Below are 20,950 nucleotides of genomic sequence, written 5' to 3' on the forward strand. Positions count from 1 at the left end.
AAGCACTGGGAATTTTTGCAGTACAAGAAGAACAGATTTGACTCATTCACGGTTATGAATGAAGTAAGACAATATTTCCAGGCTTATCATTTACATTTGAAGGGGCCAAGTATGTTCATGGAGCTAATATAAGCCTTTATTTATTTATTTATTTATTTATTTATTTATTTATTTATTTATATTTTTGAGGCACAGTCTCCCTCTGTTGCCCAGGCTGGAGTGCAGTGGCATGATCTCAGCTCACTGCAACCTCTACCTCCCGGGTTCAAGCGATTCTCCTGCCTCAGCCTCCTGAGTAGCTGGGACTACAGGCGTGTGCCACCACACCCAGCTAATTTTTGTATTTTTAATAGAGACAGGGTTTCACCATGTTGCCCAGGCTGGTCTTTGAACTCCTGACCTCAGGTGATCCACCCTCCTCAGCCTCCCACAGTGCTGGGATTACAGGCATGAGCCACCATGCCTGGCCTTAAACCTTTATTTTTAATACCTGGGAGGTATAGATGAGTAACGTTTAGTGATTCTTGAAGCCAGGTGCTTACTTTTTCTGCTCCTGTTGTTGCAGTAGCTCTAATAGTGGAGTCCTAGGAAAACCTGAAAACTAAAACCACTTTAAATGCACAAATCATAATTGAGAGCATTTTTACTTTTATTTCTGTGATCACTTGGCTCCCCTCTTCAACTTAAGAATGATGTCTTATTTATCTTGGAATCCACAACACTTAGGATGATATCTAGCTAGCACATGGCTAGATAGATATTAGTAAATTTTGTTCAATTAGGTGTGGAAGTTTGTGTATTAAAGAGTCAACAGTTTAAAATGATCTCAACTTTTATATAATTTCAATGAAGTATAATAACTTTAAATGCAAAGGTCTGCATTAAAGGGAATCAGAATTAACATGTAATATTCTCTAAAATAGTGAAGTGCATTGTAGGCTGAGGAATGAGTTATTTAAGGGTATATTTTTGAATAAAGCAATATTAGTATAATGCAGTCCTATTTTATATAATGATCTAAAAAGAATTTAGACTTGGTAATAGCACGTGTCTTTAAAAAACTCACTGTGAAAAGCCATTTATTAATATAAAAACACAGGAACAGAGAGATGTGGTATTGATTGGAAGGCTGCGAGCTTTTAACTACCTAGCAACCTATTAGGTTATTTTAGGGTATTGGTCAAGAAGGAAAGCCATTTCCTTCAATAAATACTGAATTGTGTACCTTATGGTCCCAATGATAACATTGTTTATTTTTAGTCCATTGGATAGAAACCCTTCAAAAGCAGGTATATATTTAAATAGTGTGTGTGTGTGTGTGTGTGTGTGTTTGTATGTGTGCGTGTAGAGAAAATTCATGTAGAATTGGCACTTAGAAGTTCAAGATTATTAATAGGAGAGAGGTTATTGCATCTCTCTGAGGCAAGGTGAAACTGGGGAGATAATAGCCCTTGAAGACTAGGGAAAGAAAACTGCCACTTTTTGACTACTTTCGAATGAGCAAATCAAAGAAGATTCCAAAAAGAGCAGAATCTGCATCAACACTGTCATCCTACAGACCAATGTATATTCACTCTCAGGCAATTTCTTCACTCTGTTTTCTCAACTAAAGATAATTACCAAAATATGTGATGTTGTATCACTTAGATTCTGTTTTTCCTCAAGTTTTATGGGATGCTATTCATGTAGAAATAAAAATCTCTATTTTTAATACCATACGGTGACAGAATGATTCTATTCACATCCCCTACAAATTCTGGGAAATGATTCTTCTCACTTTCATTTTCTTCTGATCAAATTTGAGGTAAAATTTTGTTGTATTGACTAACTCAGAAATGATTTTTATTTCCCTCTCAATTTTCTGATCAAATTTGAGGTAGGAATTTTTTTGTATTGATTTTCCAGTGACCAGGTTCTTTTTTTCAGTTTGAATTCTTATGTTTAATGTAACTGTCTCACCTTCATAATGTTGCCTTGTTCATAGTTTAAAAGAGTGATTTAAGAAATAGTGTTATACAGTTGAATTTAGACTAGGTTGCCTAATATTTTGGTTCATTGTATTAGGCATCTTATGATTTGCCATGAGTGAGATTGTAATTGATGACCTTAGGAAATAGGAAAGACCGGAAATCAGGAAACATATGACTAATTTTAAGCCCTGGTCGTATCTCTTCTACTGTGAAAATGTTAGTAGCTTTGGTGGAAAGATTTTTCCTCTTATGGTAGACTCAGTGCTGGCCAGAAAGACGTCATAATGAACAGACTGCCATTTTGTACTAGCGTTACAACTAGGGGGTTAATGTAAGCCTTCTTAAAGAAGAATGTATGCTGAAGTTAAGTGTCTGTTATTGATATTCTCTAAGTGTTTATTGTTATAATAACAACATGTCAGGATTTAAATTTCTGCTAGTCTTGCAAGCTTTCAAGGGAATTTTCTTGGCTAATTTATATAACCAACTAAAACTGTAATCACTGCATGGTGTTTGTGCTTCCTCACGGAGTAGGGATTTGTGGAATGAAATTTAGCAATTCTTCTATTTACCTTTAGGGCAGGATTCTCCTGAATAGAGTTCTACTTCTCATCAGTTGGTGGAGCAAAACCCATTCTTGGTTTAGGGGATCACGCTAAATCTGCCTCCCTCTCCAAATGACAATTGGAGATAAAAGTAACTGAATCTTTTATTTTCTGTGGTCTTGTGAATTATGATGGTGAATCCCCAGTTGGTGGCGGTCATATATTCTCCGGCCTCTGTGATTCTGCAGATGCACAGAGCTCTTTCAGTTCAAATTTTTCTTAGGTTCGGGCATGCAGCAGGAATTTAATAAACACTTATGTGATGACCTTTGTGAGAACTGTGACACGATTACATTTATTAAAGGGCAGAGACTTTTCATCTATGTATGTAATGCCATATTCTGGGACACCTTTGACTTGATTAATTGGCACTTTGTTTCAGCTCAAGGACACCTTTTGGATTGCTTTAGGCCACTTTGTTCTTTCCTTCATCTTGGAGCTCCCTCCAACAATGTTCAGTCATATGTCTTTCTAGGAATTCTATGGCCAAGCTATGCAGGTCATCTCCTGAAATAAGTCCCTTGAGGTTTTTTGTGCATTTTGATTTTTCTTCCCCAGAAAAGTGTTCTTCAATTTCCCATTTAGATCTCTTATAAACCAAACAGTTTACTCTCATTTTTATGTTATATCACAAGTGGTTCTAGAAGGTTTTTGAAACTTTCAAGTCCCTAACTTATTTTCATATAACCAAATTTGTATTAGATCATGGAAAGGGCATATGCATTAGAATCAGACAGACCTTTGTTTAAATATTAAAGCTCCCAAAAGTTAATTGTGTGACTTTGGGTAACTGGTTTACTCTCTGAGCCTCATTTTCCTCATTTTAAAAAATGTGGTAACAGTATATATCTTTTAGGTTGTTGTAAGGATTGAAGAAATAATGTATGTTCTACCCATATCTTCTTGATTCCCCTTACCATTTCTATACCCCCACCAGCCTGATTTCCTGTGCCCAGAACCACTGTCTTGGTTCACTTCCGTCTACTGACACCTACCTTTCCCACATAATGGCAAAGTCCCTGGAGAATAATAATCTTTAGGGCATTAGTCATAACCAGTGGCTTAACCAGTGACTGCTGATTGCAGGAGTATAAGTACCCCAGCTTCTTTACCCCTTTCCTGAAATAATTTGGAGGCAAGTTATTTACTATATATTCTAGAGTTTCTGCACTGAATTAATCTTCAGGTACCCACTGCAGCAGCTGGCTTGAAAATACCCCCCCTTTACTGGCTGCCTTCCCTTCCTTATATTACCTTTTCATACCCCTATTAGTGTCCCCTTACCTTCCCAGTAAATTACTAGTACTCAATCCTTAAATAAGACTCTGCTACTAGGGAGAACCCAACTGTGACAGTTGAGTGCAAGTCAACTCCTTGCATAGTACCTACAACATGTAGGCACTCAATAATTGCAAGTTATTCATAACATGCATAATAATAAACCAAGTGTTCGCTCTTCACCTAAGAAATTCTTTATTCCCCATTGAGATATATCAGGTTATGTTCTCGCAGTTGGAGCTACTTTTACCATTCAGTACTGTCCCTTGGTTAGTGGTGAACAACAACCACTAACGGTTTACCTTCTAGGACACATGTAGCTATTGATCACTTGAAGTGTGGTTAGTTCGAATTGAGATGTCCTTTAAGTGTAAAATATTTAGTGGATTTCAAAGACTTAATATGAAAAAAAGAATGTAGAATGTCTCATCAACAGTTTTTACATTTTAAAATGATGTTTTGGGTATGTTGGTTTAAGTAAAATACATTTAAATTAACTTTACCTGCTTTTTTTTTTTTTAACACTTTAAAGTGGCTACCAGAAAATTTTAAATTTTACATATATATAAAGCACATATTGATATGTAAAGATCTTAAACTCCATATAATTAATAAATGATATGTCATTCAAATTTCTGTCAGACAGTGTTGCTGTGGACAATTATTAGAGTATTCAGGGATATCTCTCTTTCAGGGTTGTCAGGGGCAGCCTGTGATTTCCTTTTGTGTTTTATTTTAGGTTATATGTCACCACACCCATCTCCATTAGGAGCCCCAGAGCACGTCTCCAGCCCTATGTCTGGAGGAGGCCCAACTCCACCTCAGATGCCACCAAGCCAGCCGGGGGCCCTCATCCCAGGTGATCCGCAGGCCATGAGCCAGCCCAACAGAGGTCCCTCACCTTTCAGTCCTGTCCAGCTGCATCAGCTTCGAGCTCAGATTTTAGCTTATAAAATGCTGGCCCGAGGCCAGCCCCTCCCCGAAACGCTGCAGCTTGCAGTCCAGGGGAAAAGGACGTTGCCTGGCTTGCAGCAACAACAGCAGCAGCAACAGCAGCAGCAGCAGCAGCAGCAGCAGCAGCAGCAGCAGCAACAGCAGCCGCAGCAGCAGCCGCCGCAACCACAGACGCAGCAACAACAGCAGCCGGCCCTTGTTAACTACAACAGACCATCTGGTAGGTTAATACGCAACCAAATGAATAATGCCATGGTCCAACTCGGATAACAAAGACTGCTCACCAAAACACCGGGTTGTTAAAAGCCCGGGGCTGACGTAGCCTTTTGTTATACCTCACTGGCTCTCTATCCTTGCTCCACTTAGATGGCCAAGATTCTTGGTCTTCCCCTGCTGTTGAGACCTAGGGCAGTGTTTCTTAACCTTAAAAGGTGGTTGTGCAAGCTGGAGACCCAGGGAAAAAGCACCTGTGATTTTGCGTTCTCTTTGAAGCGGTTCAAGGTTTCTTGGAAGCCCATCCACACACACAAGGTTAAGAACCTCTGGACTTAGTGCATTTCATCCCCAGAACTCACTGCTCAGATCAGCCCCACTAGAGCCATTTTATAATTTGTTGATTTGTTTATTTCTATCCCTTTTTGTTATGAAGAACATCTGGAGAGGCTTACAAGAAGCATGCCTGTTGTAAAATAATTATGAGTAGCAAAATCAGCAACAAGGGAAAATAGAAAAAAAAGTAAGAAATTGAGGCAAGAAAGTAGGGCTGCAAAAGTTCTCATAGTTGCTGTATTTGCTTCAAAGATGACTTGAGTTTCTTGACAATCAGAGCCAAAAGGAGACAAAGTCCTGTATCTAAGTCTCGCCCTTTGGAAGGAAGTTCCTTACCAGTTTCTCAGAAAAAGCCATTTCTAGCATGAGAGTATAGAGTTGATTTCCCAGGTGAGATTATTTTTTAAATTATTATCATCATCATTATTGTAAGAGGCACTGCATGACAGAAACATCAATAGCATTTGTTCATAATAGACTAACAGATTCAACATGGCCTATTTCTTATACACCTTGGGATGAAGTCTGAAGCTATGACATTATACAATGGGTAGAAATGATACAATCCTTTGCATGGCCTCTTGGTCTTCTGTCTTGATCCCATTGATAGACTTCAGAGGTGCAGGGGACTGTGAAGTGATCTTCCATGAAGGTTGTTTTCTCTAGGAAGCGTTTTGTTAAAGAACTGGAAAAGCAGAGATTGTATGGGTCTACTCTAATGAAAACTTTGGATTCTAGGGAATGAGGTACTTCCTTGACGTTGATACCATTTCCTCTGAGTGGTTTCCATTCATTTAGGCAAGTTCTGACATGCAGGTTGTTGCAAACAGCTAGTTTGGGATATTGGTACTGTTCCTGGGTTTTGGGCCTTATACCATGGGAGAGAGTTCAGATTAGTATTTTTTCATTAATATTCTGCCTATTGAGTTTGTATACGTTTATTTTCTGGTAGAGGCAGCTCCAAGAGTAGGCCTACCTAAGAGATATCCTCATCTTATTAATTGTTATAGCCTTAAGAATGGATGTCTTAGTAAGTCTGAGCTGCTGTAATGAAAGGTCATTGACTGGGTGGCTTAAAAACAGCAAATTTATTTCTTACAGCTCTGAATGCTGGGAATTCCAACCTCAAAACACCAGCAGATTCAGTGTCTGGTGAGGGCCTGCTTCCTGATTCATAGATGGCTTCCTTCTCACTGTGTCCTCACATGGCAGAAGAGACAAGGCAGCTCTCTGGAGCCTCTTTTACAAGGGCATGAATCCCAATTATGAGGACTCTACTCTCATGAAATAGTCACCTCCCAAAGACCCCACCTTCTAATACCATCTCCCTGGGAATTAGGATTTTAACATATGAATTTTGAGGGGACCATAAACTTTCAGACCATGGCAGTGGGTTTTAAAAGGGCAAGAAAGTATCATTTCATCTCCAGAATTTCTGTGTGGCTACCATGGAGGCATTTGGTAGGTGGAGGATCATAGAGAACTGAGATTTGGGAACAGGAAAGGTTATACAAGAAACTATGCAGAAAATGGCAGTTTGAATCCTAAAAGTATTTAGAGGTTTTAAAACTGCAAAACTCCAGCTCTTGAGAATGCAGCCAGATAGAAGAAAAAAGCACGTATGTATATGTGTGTGTGGCTTATCCTCCCTGAGTGCCTGCTGGCCTACTCATGTGCCATTCTCAGTGATAAGTCCTTTGCATGTGTCACACAACTAATGATGGAGAGTCGGGATTCAGACCCCAGGAATTTGACTTAAGATCTCATGTTCTTAACCACTTTCCCATACTGGCTCCTTCATGGCAAAAAGGCTCATGACAAGGAAAAAAACCTATCACAAAGTCTGTGTACCAAGATGCAAGCATTGTACTTCTGTGTGTAAAGAGACAGTATCTGCACACCTTACTTAGATCCTTTTCCCTCTTACTCTGAGACACAATATCAACAAAATTGGTAATCTTTATATCCCATGTCTCAGTATGTGAAGAGTATTAACTAGGAGAATTTCAAGTAGAGGCCAGCTGGTAACTACCAGCTACATGAAAGGCTGATGGAGAGGAGGGATCAGAACTTGAACTCCCAAAAGGTAGTAGTCTGGGATGATGTGTTCTGGGTATGATCTGCTATACCTCACAGTTGGTCCTGGGATATCATCTTGTCACAGACATCACCAAGCATTGGTATTTTTAAGAACGAGCTAGACTCAGTAATAAAAGATTCGAAGATATCAGTTAAGAATGTAGGAAGCAGAATGATTTGTTTGAGAAACCTTTTTCATCCAAGGTTAAAATAATGTAACTGAACACAGTAGTAAAATTTAAAGGATGAAGTTCCATTTATCTGGATACCTGTACACAATAAATGCTTCATGTCCTAATCAACCCAATCCTGAGTGCCTTTTCTGGATCATTTTCAGGAGAGGGCTCTATTTTTTTTTTTTTTTTAACCTGGCTCCGGTACCTACATCTTTCGTCATCAGGTGCCTGTCATTAAAGGGAATTCACTTTATTACTCACTGCTCATGTCTTTTTAAATTTTCAATAGTCGGAGCTTCATTAGAAATGACAATATTTGGGCAGGTAGGGTTTTATGGAAGAGTGGAAAGGAGACGTGAATGAAGGAGGAAAGAAGATATCTCCTTCAAATAGAATGAGCCCATTTCTGTCACTGAGAGGGCACTGCCATTTGACAGCATTGCTGAACTTGTCCCCACATCTCAGGTTTCATTAGAGAAACAGATAACTTTACTTGCCAAAAATAATTTTTTTTTTAGATTGGCTTTTAGAAAAGATAAAATAAGGCATGATTTTCTTGTTAAAGTTCATATTAGTCTATTTATTGTTTATCTCCTTTTTATAAAATAAATTACTTTTAAACACCCCTGCTAATATTTCAGGATATTATTCACTTACGTAGAGGTAGTTGTGTTCCCATTTTGCTTCTGTTCCATTTCCTGGTGTTATTCATGTGTGAAGAGAATCTTTTTGGCTGGGTTGGCCTGCCTCAAAGCTGCTCCAAACTTATAATTCACCAAAAGTGACATCATCCCAGCCACCACCAAAGAATTATGATTGGAGTCGAGGCATTGCCCATGGAACACATAACTCTGCAGTGGTTTCCCCTACAAAATGTCAGCCACTCTTACGATGGAATGTGCCCTTGCCTGCTGTGGGCACCGCTCAAATCTAACCCATCATTTTTCTTTTCATTTTGATTCACTTTTCCTTTCAGAGATTCAAACAAAAAGAAAAATGGGAACTGAAAAAATTTGGGGTTTTTGAGGGGTGAGGGAGAGACCTTATGGTAGAAAATAAAGTGTTTTTTTTGATATCTGAAATTTTATATGCTCAATTTAAATGTTTTATTGCGTTTGTTTTTTCCAACCTGTGGAAACCCCTTAAATTCTTACTGAATGCATAGATCTTTTATTTGCATGAATGTCCTGTATGCCGGAAGACTAAGTGGGAGCACTGAATGCTTTGAAGTTCTGTGCCTGTGAGACTTGGGTATTTTAATACATTGTTACCCTATTGCATCAAATCACGCCTAGGGATGCATTCAATAAAGACTGCCCCCTCCCCGCTTAGCTGCGCTGGGACTCCCTTCTGGAGGGCCAGAGTTTCTACTTTGTTTCTACTTTGACTCCTAAAATGAGGACTGAAGGGAAAGCAGATGGCATTTTGTACCTCTGACAATGAAGCCTAAATTGTTTACGTTGGAGAGGGAGTGGGAGATAAGCTAAAGAATGTGATTTGTCTTCCATTTGAAGATACCAGGGAAAAGTCTTGTCAAGTAGCAGGCCACCGGTGTCTAGTGTAGAGGAGACGATTTCTGTCGATAGAGAGCAAAGCCAGCCAGGCAAACGAACCCGTAAGCCGCCTGAGGGACAGACAGGCATAAAACCTAATGAATGGGTAGGTAGACTTTGGGCAAGGCTAATTGCAGCAAGCTGTGTTCAGTTCCCCGGCCTCTGTTAAGTAGTCATTTTTATACAATCTGTCGGAGGGAAGAGGAAATAGACCCACACGGTAAATGAACTTGTGGTGTTTAGCTAGGAAGTGGAGTTTGCTCTAAGTAGCTCTGGTAGCAGACTCCAGGGAGCACATGGCAGGCGGACTCATCTGAGTATCTGTGCTGAGGAGTTGTGTTAAACTGTTGAAACACTTAGAAATTGCTATAGAAAAAGAGTACTCCCAAAGTTGCCAGCTAATATGGTACCGAATTTCCTGAAAGACCTTTCTTTTGCCATGTGGTTTTTCTATAAAGCTGAGTCAATTAGGCTTCTTTATCTCCCTGTCCTTGGCAATAAAACGACAAAAGCCGAGGGTTGAACAGGTAGACACTGTTATCTCACTGAATCTTCACCGCTGCCCTATGAGGTGGCTATTGTTACTCTCCCCATTCTATAGATGAGGACACTGAGCCACAGATTGGTTGAGTAACTTGCTCAGGCTCACACAACTAGCAGGTGATAACAGCTGAGGTGAAAGAACATTTTTTCTGGGAAGATACAGGGTGTTTAAAGGTACCTGTTTAGTGCACAGCAAGTTGCAGTACTTTTAAATTGGAGACTGGAATATGTAAGTAGATGTTTGAATCTCTCTCTGTCTTTCAGTGTTACAGGTGAATCAACAAAATTAGAATATCTTTCTATTTAGTGACTGAAGAAGGCGGTCCATGCATATATCAGATCTAGTTTGGAGTCACAGACTAGATTCTGGACCAGAGATGAAAGATATGCTTTGGGTACCTCTTTTTGATTAAATGTAGTTTTTAAAATAGTGACTTGACTATACCTCAAGGAGTCTTCATAATCTTCTGCATGGGTATTTATAGGCAATAATGCTAAAGAAGACAGTGCCAGTACAAGTGAAATGATAACATGATTGCAGTGTTACGGCTTTTGTTGATGAATTATTTGAACTGGGAGGAAAAACACTTTGAGAACTAAATTTAAAGTAATTCTTCCGATATTATCAGTAAGACCTAAAGATGGTTGCTTTTAGAGGACCTAAATGTATTAAATTCCTGATTTAGCATGCTTATAGCAAGGCTTCAAATATGTTTAATTCTACCAGCTTCTTGAGCTTCTTAAGGAGAGTCATAGAATCATAGGGAATTAAAATGAATGTTAGAAATCTGTATCTCCTCTGACTTGACTGGATCACACCTAGAGCAACCCAAATGAAAAATGTACCTTGTTTTAAAGCTCTCCAGGGAAAAATATTCTAAAACTTCCCCTGATAACTTACTCCAATGCATAGTAACCCTGAGACTTAATATTTACAAATTGGTTTCTTATATATGGATGAAAGGAACTCTAAATGTATCGTATTATAAAAGGTATGCATTACATAAAGGACCTTTTATACAGGAAAAAAAGTATTTAGATGAAAAAACTTCTTAATTATGGAGGTACATCTACAATACCTAAAATTAAAAATAAAATGAAGTGCATTTTCCTCCTAAGATTTTCTCATCAACCCCGAGAACCACTGCTGGAAATTACCTGAAGAAGAAATCTTACCTTGCTCTGTATCTTTAGGAAATGTTTTACCTAATTTTAGAAGGAGGGGAAAAGAACGATAACATCACAGACACACACACACACACACACACACACACACACGACACAAACACAGGCACACACTGTAGTTTCCTAAGCAGTTTGTTCTAATTCTTCACATCCCCCTGTCAAAATGTTTGCTTATAGCTTTCTTTGTATTGTCATTTAAGCCCATTTCTAATTGGTGATTGTTGGAAATTGAATAAATGTGTTCAGTTTTTCATAATGTATGTCGTTGTATGGTTAATTATTAAATCGCTCTGAAGTATGTAGACTATTATTTTTGTTACCATTTAATAGCTATTTTTTCTTAGAAAGGATTTAGAAAAAATTGGAAAAATGCTCTGGACTTTAACATCTGCTTACTGAGATTCTTTTAAAAAAATTTAACTCATCTGGTAGCATCACTAAAATTATAATTTTAAGGCAACTGAAAATTCATCTAGGAGAAGAAATGGAACACTTAAAAATTTAAGTCTGTACCTAGTAATTAACTTAAACTCCTGAAGTTCAATGCGGAAAATTATTTTAAATTAACTTAATCAATGCACTTTGACAAGCTTTCAGATTACATATTGTTTTATTCTGGTAACATGGGATAATGCTCCCTTGAATCCTAATATTTGCCAATTTTTATTAGGTGGAATGAGCAGATTTTTTTTGGCTAACAATGAATGTTTTAAGAAGTGTTTTCTAATATGTAGTAAGAAAAAATTTAAGTTCCCAGACTTCACTGATTAAACCTGAAATATGCTTTATAGGCCTTAAAAGAAAAAGTGTGTGCTCCTTGTAGTTCACATCAGAAGACTGATAAACTCGTTGCTCTGTTTGTAAAGCATGGGTTCTGACAGCAGGGCTCTTCCAGATTGCGATAGAGGTCTGTCCTAAAAGGGCTTCAGATTGGGATAGAGGTCTGTCCTAAAAGGGCTTGAGGTGCAATTTGCAAGATGTGATTTTAGGACCATACCCAAATTGCATCTGACTGTTGGGTGACTCCCTTTCTTTTCTGAACTCTCAATGCACCTGTAATTAAAAAAAGAAAAAGAAAGAAACCCATTGCAGAGCTACATTAAAAGCTGGCAGTAGTTTCCTTAATCAATTGTATTAAGTCACCGTCATTTTGGGATCATTTGCACCCGTGTTCGTTAGTGAATGCCATTTCCCGATGGGGATAGATGCCAGATTCTTTTTTCTTTCTGTGTCTTTTTCCTTCTCCGTTTTCTTTTTCCTTTTACCCCGTTCCCTGTCTTGCCCTCCTCTCCCTCCCTCCTCTTCCTTCTTGCCCTCCTTTTTTTTTTTTTCCTTCTCTTCCCTCAGGTGTTTAAGACACTTAATGGTCCCCAGCACTGGGCCCCGGGGGGCGGCGGGCAGGCCGGGTGTGGCCCGCGGGGCGCCGTCCCGCCCGAGCTGCCCATGTCGCTCTTGTCCCGCAGGCCCGGGGCCGGAGCTGAGCGGCCCGAGCACCCCGCAGAAGCTGCCGGTGCCCGCGCCCGGCGGCCGGCCCTCGCCCGCGCCCCCCGCAGCCGCGCAGCCGCCCGCGGCCGCAGTGCCCGGGCCCTCAGTGCCGCAGCCGGCCCCGGGGCAGCCCTCGCCCGTCCTCCAGCTGCAGCAGAAGCAGAGCCGCATCAGCCCCATCCAGAAACCGCAAGGCCTGGACCCCGTGGAAATTCTGCAAGAGCGGGAATACAGGTAACGCACCCCGCCAGCAAGGGGCCCCCTGCGGTGTGCTAGCACCTGCCGCCCAAGCCGAGGGGGGTGAGGCGCCTGCCTCCTTGGTTGGCCAAACTGTGATTTTCACCCGTGCGGTCGGAAAACTTTCATCCACTCCTGGGGCCTTCCCGGTGCTGAGGGGAGGCACCGGGGTTTTGAAGATCAAAAGCCGACGGGGACTTCCTGTGGACCCGAGAGAGTGATCATCTCACACTGCGACTGTGGAATACACTGTCCGTGTTTGTGCTTGTGCGGTTCGGTGATGACGGAGGGGCTGGGACGCTGAGTGTGTTGCGCTGGCCTGATTTTCATGTTAACTGTACGTTTCTACTAAAGCATCCTTCGGTAGCTTGGTATAATCTTTGTTTTAATTCACGTGTGTCTATGCAGTGATCCAGCCTTATGGGTATACCCTGTGCGAGTGTCTTTATACAAGGTCTATACTTAAATCATTAGTCCAGAAGCTTAATTTTTACCTGATTCAGCCATTTAGCAGAATCAGGGGTTTTGGTAAACTCTTCCTGTAAAGAGCCAGATAGTCAATGTTTTATGCACTCTGGGGCCATACCGTCTCTGTCACAACTCACCTCTACCCTTGCAGTGTGAAAACAGCTGCAGACAATAATGGGCTGGCTGCCTTTCGGTAAACTTTACAAAAACAGGCTGGAGGCAGAATTTGGCCTGCAGGCTGTGTTTACGAGACCCCTGATGTAAATGGTTAATGTCAACCCAAAAGGGAGTCCGGCAAGTATTAAGTCAAGATAAAATGAAGCTAAGGTTGTGGATTCTGGAGTCTGCCAGAAAGCATACTGTGTCATCAGTAACTTCTTACCGTGGCGAAGTTATGTCTCTTTTCTGTGACTCAGTTTCCTCCTAGGCTAAAAGAAGATACCTCTCATAGTGTTGGGAAGATAAAATGATACTGAAACATTCAATAAATAATACCTATTATTATTTCCCAAAGACTTTAATTTTAAGGAAAATTAGAGTTTAAAAATTATAGAGAATGTTGGTAAACAGTGTCTGGGCTTCCTTTTAAAAGGTTACCTTAATCTTTATTGAAAAGCACATCACTCATTTCTTATCAGACTAAAATACTAAGTTACCAGCCTAGAGAGGTAATCTGAAAGAAATCAGAATAACTTGCCATTAGATGTGTTTATTTTTTTGGATGAAGAATATAACTTTATTCTCATCACTATTAATAATCATCTGTTAAGAGATTTTATATTGCTATTTCCACCATTTCATGTATTCCCAGAGAGCTAGATACTCATTGTCAATTGATATTTCAGTGCTGATAGGCAGATTCTGCTGGGTGAATAATTGCTGTGTGTTATAAAGTCAAATACTAGCATATTCCTCTATTCATGTGCAATAGACTAATGTGCAGTACATTCTGTATGTTACTGTTGAGTTTTTAAAAAGCTAAAAGTATTGGAAAAAGTCAGTAATAGAATAGAGAAATACAATGTGGATGCTCTAAAATTCTGACTTCCTAAGAGCTGATATTTTTTTTCCTACCCTAGGAAAGGAAAAAGCTCTGTACAAGCTCCCTAGTTAAAACATTTTTTTTTTCCATTTGAATTACCAGTACCTTTGTTAAACTATGTGAACTACCCTTAGAAGAGAGATGCTTTCTATAGCTAGAAATTTTTACATATGTCTAGACTTCTTTCCCTTATTCAGCCTGGTATGTGTGTGTGCACAAGTGTGTTTTAACTTTTTATTTTGCTAACTCCTAAATGTTCTTAATCATTTTTTCTGGAATTTTCATTGCAGGACTTTCTTGTAATAAGTTTATTTTAGGAACTTTTTTGGAGATTACCTTAGTGGATGGTCTTCCAAAGTGCACAGTATTAAGTAGTACTATTTGGCCTATTCCAATGTGTAAAAAGCTTTTGTTCTGCCCTCCTATGTCAATAAAAAATGCTGTCAGTATCTTTTAAATTACATGCATTACAAAATGTGGAGAATGGCAATTTTTCATAGTATTATTATTGCTTTATAAATGCCTACTCTTTTGTAAAGCCATGTGGCTTTTGAAACGACTGATCTGGACAACCCTGAATCCAGAAAGGTCATGGGTCCTTTGGTCTGAATTTTCTCATGGCCACCTGGAGAAGAAGCACAGTTTGGTGGTGACAGCATTATGGGGCATGTTTTGTATTCTTTGGTTACAGAGCAATAGCTCTCTTCTGCCTATTTGAAGGTAAGTTGTTCAACTGCAGAGATTAAATTTATCCCTTAAAAGGGTTAAATGAAGTCCCTTAGGCACTTGCAAAAGACAACAAATGAACCATTTTTTTTCTTCTTTTGACCCTTTGTGACAGAATGGCTTACCAGCCTTTAGCATTGATAACTGTTAGGATCCAGTTCATCTTTATCATCCGATCAAAGATTAGAGAGGGGTCTAAAAAACCTCTTTTACAATTTGATAAACTTAGTTTCAGCAAAAATCATCTGTCAGAAATTCTTGAACAGATGTTAATTTCTTTGGGTCTTGTAATATCATTTACCTTGTCTATGAAATTTGACAGGAAGTTTTCAGCATCTTAAATTTTTTTAACGTTTAAGTCAGTTGGCTGCTTTTCCTTGTTCATCATAAAATCAGAACGTTGACAAATTGACCTTCTTTTTCATTCATAGCATAAATAAATGTCTGCCTATGAGCACTTTGCTGCAGCTCTGTACAAGCTCTCTAGTTCAAACATTTTTCCCACTTAAATTGGATCCTTTCTTTTTGACCATCTTTCTCTTATAATGGAACTTTATTACTTCCATAGTAAGTGTCAGAGAGATGTTTCCCTGTACTGCTTTTTTTTTTTCTTTTTTTTCTTTTTGGCACACTTTTGATGCCTTCTCATTGTGCCTAACTTCGCTTTCTTCTATTTAGAGTTAGATGTCTGATCAAAAGTACCTCAGGAATCATCACATTGGCATGTAAACTAATTCCACACATGTTTGCCTGGAAGATGTATTTCACACTTGAAGGGGTTTATTTGGGAAGAACATGTCTGAATTATATCAGCCCTCTTCGGAATAAAGTCAGACTTTAGTATGAAAAGAGCGGTATATCCTCTTTGTGTCAGGAAGCAGGCATAGGCTGCTTACCTGTGATTTTTTTTTTTTTTTGACCTGCCCTTGTCGCCATTGCAATCCTGAAAATTCCTTCTCAAAAATTACCAGTAGCTGCTTTACCAGCAGAGTTACAAAAAGTCACACACGCTCTCTTTTTAAAGTGTCACTCAGCTCCTTGAAGGAACAAAATGTACCAGTGTCATTTTCTGTTCAGATAACTCTCCTACAGGAATCATAAACTTCTCCTCTGGACCTGAACAAGTATCTGTTGCATTTAATGCAACTCTTTTTCTTGCCAGAACAGTAACCCCTCGTGATTTACTGTTCAATCTGTATGAAAAACCTGTGTGACCTAATTCTGCATCAATTTTCTGTACTCGTGAGGACGCTAAATGAGTCCCCTGCAGTTATGCAGTATTACATCTTGTTGTTGTTTGGGGAAGTTTAGAATCCTGAATCTCTTTATCGGACTACCTGCTGAATCTCACTGATGGGGAGATGAAATTGTCTGGAGAGGAACATTATTTAAAATGAAGATTTCTATTAACAACAACAACATCAACAAAGATATAATCTTCTGTGTTAAAGAAGCCCCTCCTGTACCTTTGCTTCTTCCCCACCATGTGCTGAATCAAATGCATATAATTTTACTATGGAGTCTACCTTTCCTCTTCTCCTAGAGTTTGCGCTTTGTACTTCTTGCCTCCCTTCCAGAAAAGGGATTCTTTTGTGCCAGGGAATCAGATTCACTGACAAATAACTGGGCTCCTTGGAGAAGGAGTCATTTCAGGGAGAGGTGCACCCCCCTCGCTCCCACTCTCTCTCTCCAGTGCCTAAGTCACACAGTGCCCCATCTCCCCGGGGTTCCCACCCCCCATCTCCTCATTTCCGCTCCACTTCCCTGCTTCCCACCTCCCAGTTCAATGTGATGTAATCTCTACCCTATCACCCCAGTTATCTGACGATTACTTATTTAGTCCTAGTTCCATGGTTGTTTGGAAGATTAAGTAGGAATTCCTCTAATTTGGCATCTGACCCACTTTGTCAAAGAGAGTAAATCAGAATACCAAGGGATAGTTTGAGTTCTAGGATATTCAAATAAGAAAGATCTGCAAGGAATCTAGAACCAAGGATGCGGAATAACCAAATCATTGGCCATGGGCTCACGCCACTATAATACTTAATTTTCCTTTGGTATGGCCTTAACCTGTGAAAGTAAAGTTGTCTCAGTTTTATTTTTTCCCTTTAAATTATATATTTCAAAAAAAATCAATAGTGGATTTTTTTCTTTACATCTTAATTGTTAAGATGCATCATCTGTTGCTGTATCCAGAGATTTGGGGCTACATAGATGTTGTAGAAAATGAGTAAATGAAGTAGATGTCTGTTTCATATAGTGAAAATTAAAAACCACGGTAATAATCTCACGAGTATCACTAGTACAAGGAATGTGGAAGAAAGTTGGGAGAATTTGAACAATTTTGCCAAAAGAGTAAAATGATGAGTTTATTATTGTTGCATGAAATACAAAACTTTCAGTCTTTTGAATGATTAAACCACTTAAAAATGCTATTGTTTGTGTTGGTATGCATAGTTAATAGCACGGGCCAGGCATGGTGGCTCATGCCTGTAATCCCAGCACTTCGGGAGGCCGATGCCTGCGGATCACCTGAGGTCAGGAGTTTGAGACCAGCCTGGCCAACATGGCAAAACCCCGTCTCTACTAAAAATACAAAAATTAGCTGGGCGTGGTGGCACGTGCCTATAGCCCCAGCTACATGGGAGGCTGAGAGGCAGGAGAATCGCTTGAACCTGGGAGGCGGAGGTTGCAGTGAGCAGAGATAGTGCCACTGCACTCCAGCCTGGCCGACAGAGCGAGACTCCATCTCAAACAAACAAAGAAAAAACAATAACGACAGCACGGTAGCAGTGATAATATTAACACATTATGATGACAAATCATTTAATAAATTAGAACGAATAACGTGCGTATAGCAAATAAAACAAGAATCAGTCTTAGATACTATTTTTAGTGAAGTCCCTGAAAAATAGTTTTCCTTACCACCATTTTTAAATTTTTAAAAATGATGACATTTTATTTCCCTTCCAAACTAAGCAACTGTAGGTTTTTTAAAAAATCACTCATTTTGATATTTGGGCTATATGAAGTATTAGATCTTCTACAGCATTTAGGTCCAGGAGGTTTCACTTTTTCACGTTAATGAAAATGATGGCTGTCGTCATCAGCATCTTGGCAAGGAAGACAAATGGTCTGGTTGCCTTAGGACAGAACCAGAAGTTAGAAAGAAAAAAGTCTGTCCTCCCAGCTCTGTACTCTGGCAACATCATCATGTTTGGAAAAAACTGTAATATTCATTTTTTAAGACAATTTCGACTTTTATTTTAGATTGAGGGGATTCATGAATAGGTTTCTTAACATGGGTATGTTGCATGATGCTGAGGTTTGGGGTGCAGTTGATCCCATCATTCAGCTAATGAGCATAGTACCTAAAAGTTTTTCATCCCTTCCTGCGCTCCCTCCCTCCCCCGTCTAGTAGTCCCCAGTGTGTATTGTTGCCATCTTTATGTCCATGAATACCCAGTGTTTAGCTGCCACTTAAAAGTGAGAACATGCGGTATTTGGTTTTCTGTTCCGGCATTAATTTGCTTAGGATAATGGCCTCCAGCTGCATCCATGTTGCTGCAAAGGACATGATTTGGTTCTTTTTTATGGCTGTGCATAATTTTTAACAGAATTCTTAATTTTCAGCTTTTATAGTTGAGGTCCAGGAAGGTTCTCGGAAAGTGTATCTTAATTATCTATCATTTTATTGCAGTGGTTTTGGTATCAGGCAAATTGAGGTTCCAATCTTGGCCCCCTTCTTTACTAGCTCTGTGGTATCTCCAGGTGTCTTCAGTTTTCCTCATCAGCAAAATGGGACCATTATAACTTTTACCTTACAGAGGCGTGTCTGTGTGTGTAAGAGAGAGACAATTAAATAACATTGTACATTAAAGGCACTTAGTGCTGTTAATATTAGCCTACTTTAACTTATTACTTATTATTATTCTTTCTTTGTTGAAATCTAGTTCAGTACAGTTTGCCTCAGATTTAGGGGATGTAGTTCTAAAAATAGTCTTAAATGGCATATAATTATTTTGTCAGAATAGGATTCAGGTGAACTCTAAAACCAGCAGTTTATATATCTAACAGTAATAGTATCCCAAGTGAATGGCTAAAGTCAGAGGTCTTTTATTTTCTACTCTGCCTTTATTATGAAGAAGTACATGCAGTTATATTTTTGATGGTGTGTAAAACGAGAATCCTCAACATCCTTTTCTAGAAACTCTTGGTTTTTGAGTACTATTTACTGCTGGCCCTGATTTTTTTAAAACAGCCTCATTTGTATTTTCTTTTCTCAAGCAAGCTCTGCTCACAGAGGAAGTGGTTGTGGCTGGCAGAGCGCTTTCTGAATGTTTAGGGTTGGCTGATTTCTGTGGCATCAGCACCTAAAACTGTTCTTGCTCACTGCGCTTTAATGGCTGTCGTCATCAGCATCTTGGCAAAGAAGACAAATGGTCTGGTTGCCTTAGGACAGAACTAGAAGTTCGGAAGAAAAAAGTCTGTGCTCTCAGCTCTGCATTCTGTCTGGCTGGGAGTTAGAAAGCTTGTCAATTGGTTCTGTCTCTTATATTCTCTCTCTGCTAAGAGTGAGCAAGGACATTTGACTTCCCCACTAGATGCAGGGTGAACCTTCTTTCCCTAGTGTTAGATAGAGGTTATGGAGGAAGCCACATTGTTAAGTAACATATACCTGTCTGCATTAATGCAAAGGTAGCTTTTCTCTGCTTAACATCAAAAATTCTAGTTGGGTGTTAGAGATCAACTATCAGTATCTGGAATATGTTTTGCCCCGGACTTAAACCTAATGTCATTGTTTATCATTTAAGATTAAATTGTAATGTGTTTTTCCCCTGCCCCCTTTTCCCCATTTTATTGTTTCCTTTAGACTTCAGGCCCGCATAGCTCATAGGATACAAGAACTGGAAAATCTGCCTGGCTCTTTGCCACCAGATTTAAGAACCAAAGCAACCGTGGAACTAAAAGCACTTCGGTTACTCAATTTCCAGCGTCAGGTAATACATTTTCCCCAGTGAATCTGAGATGTAGGAAATAAATGTAATTGTTCCTAAAGTGTTATCTGTGTTGCCTTTAGTCTATTCAATATTGTTACAAAGATATAAAGATATAAATATAGTAAAATAGTGAATCTTTTAGACCAACAGCTTACAACTAAAAATGATGAAGATGAACTGCTTATTATTCTGGTTTTCTCTTCTGTATATGGGAAAGAGTTTTTCCTCCTGTACTATGGGTTACAAAGTCAGAGTTATGGCGTTTTGTTACCATGGATGAAAAACCTTGGGAACAAGTGGGGTAGCTCATGTTTGCTTTTATGACTCCAAGGAAAAACCAGAAGGTAGTGGATTGGAGCTTCTTTGTAAGCACAGATGTAAAGTGCTTGCCACGACTGTGAAAATAATTTTAACAAATATGGTAGCCACGCTACTGAATTAGTGGTTCATCATTTATAGAAATACATAAAGCAATGTCTTATAGCTTATTTATTCACCGATGTCTAAGTTTGGAGTGTTTGATCACATCAGGCTCATGTATTGACTAATCAGTAAATTATCTGCTCTTGTAGTTTACAGCAGTTATTAAAAGCCAGTATAATGACCTATTTTCTGATTTCTAAATTAGTAAGAGACAAGTGGAATGAGTTAGAGCTAATTTTCACTTTGGCGAGTTTTGCCTTGTGGACTGAAAAGGTTCAAGTTTGCTAGTCCGCAGATTGCCTCACTAACCCAAAGGGGATAAGGAACGTTTCATTGTTAGTCAGATGGGTTTGTTTTGTTAAAGTCTGGAACATGCGAAATGAATAATTAATGAGTCAAAGTAGTTTGGAAGTATTGACTTGGTTTGTTGGAGGATGTGACTAAAATCACAGGCCACTCCAGTTGCTATTGTGGTAGGAATTTGGGTGTATATTTGCCTTACCGGCTATAATCTCACAGATGGACATTAGTGGTGGGTAGGTGCTACTTGGCTCTTGGTTTGTGAGAGTAGATTTCAGCTTAAATTTTAAAAAGAAAAGGGAAAATTCTCTGAGTTCTGTTTACTTCTTTCTTATTGGTGACCTCATAAGATGAATTAATAAAGTGCTGGATAAAAT

The 20,950-nt window shown here is 39.2% G+C and overlaps 1 protein-coding gene across 4 annotated transcripts in view, besides 2 other annotated features; it reads left to right on the top strand.

The window, feature by feature from the left end:
• SMARCA2 (SWI/SNF related BAF chromatin remodeling complex subunit ATPase 2) overlaps positions 1-20,950 on the top strand; it is a 178,274-nt gene that overhangs the window by 19,527 nt on the left and 137,797 nt on the right. For all 4 annotated transcript variants that reach the window (NM_003070.5, NM_139045.4, NM_001289397.2 and 1 more), the window contains exons 4-6: positions 4,593-5,027; positions 12,356-12,611; positions 19,724-19,850. In NM_003070.5, the coding sequence (NP_003061.3) occupies positions 4,593-5,027; positions 12,356-12,611; positions 19,724-19,850 (818 nt within the window). The remainder of the gene's footprint in view (positions 1-4,592; positions 5,028-12,355; positions 12,612-19,723; positions 19,851-20,950) is intronic.
• Positions 4,886-5,435: an enhancer, noted in NCBI's record as "H3K4me1 hESC enhancer chr9:2039759-2040308 (GRCh37/hg19 assembly coordinates)". NCBI's record gives its function as "activates a minimal SCP1, AML or CMV promoter by ChIP-STARR-seq in primed H9 embryonic stem cells {active_cell/tissue: H9 hESC(primed)}" and the evidence as "EXISTENCE:reporter gene assay evidence [ECO:0000049][PMID:30033119]".
• Positions 8,477-8,706: an enhancer, noted in NCBI's record as "active region_28136". NCBI's record gives its function as "activates an Ori minimal core promoter by ATAC-STARR-seq in GM12878 lymphoblastoid cells {active_cell/tissue: GM12878}" and the evidence as "EXISTENCE:reporter gene assay evidence [ECO:0000049][PMID:35858748]".

The sequence above is a fragment of the Homo sapiens genome, chromosome 9, assembly GCF_000001405.40.
Source record: "Homo sapiens chromosome 9, GRCh38.p14 Primary Assembly".
In the NCBI taxonomy this organism is placed as follows: domain Eukaryota; kingdom Metazoa; phylum Chordata; class Mammalia; order Primates; family Hominidae; genus Homo; species Homo sapiens.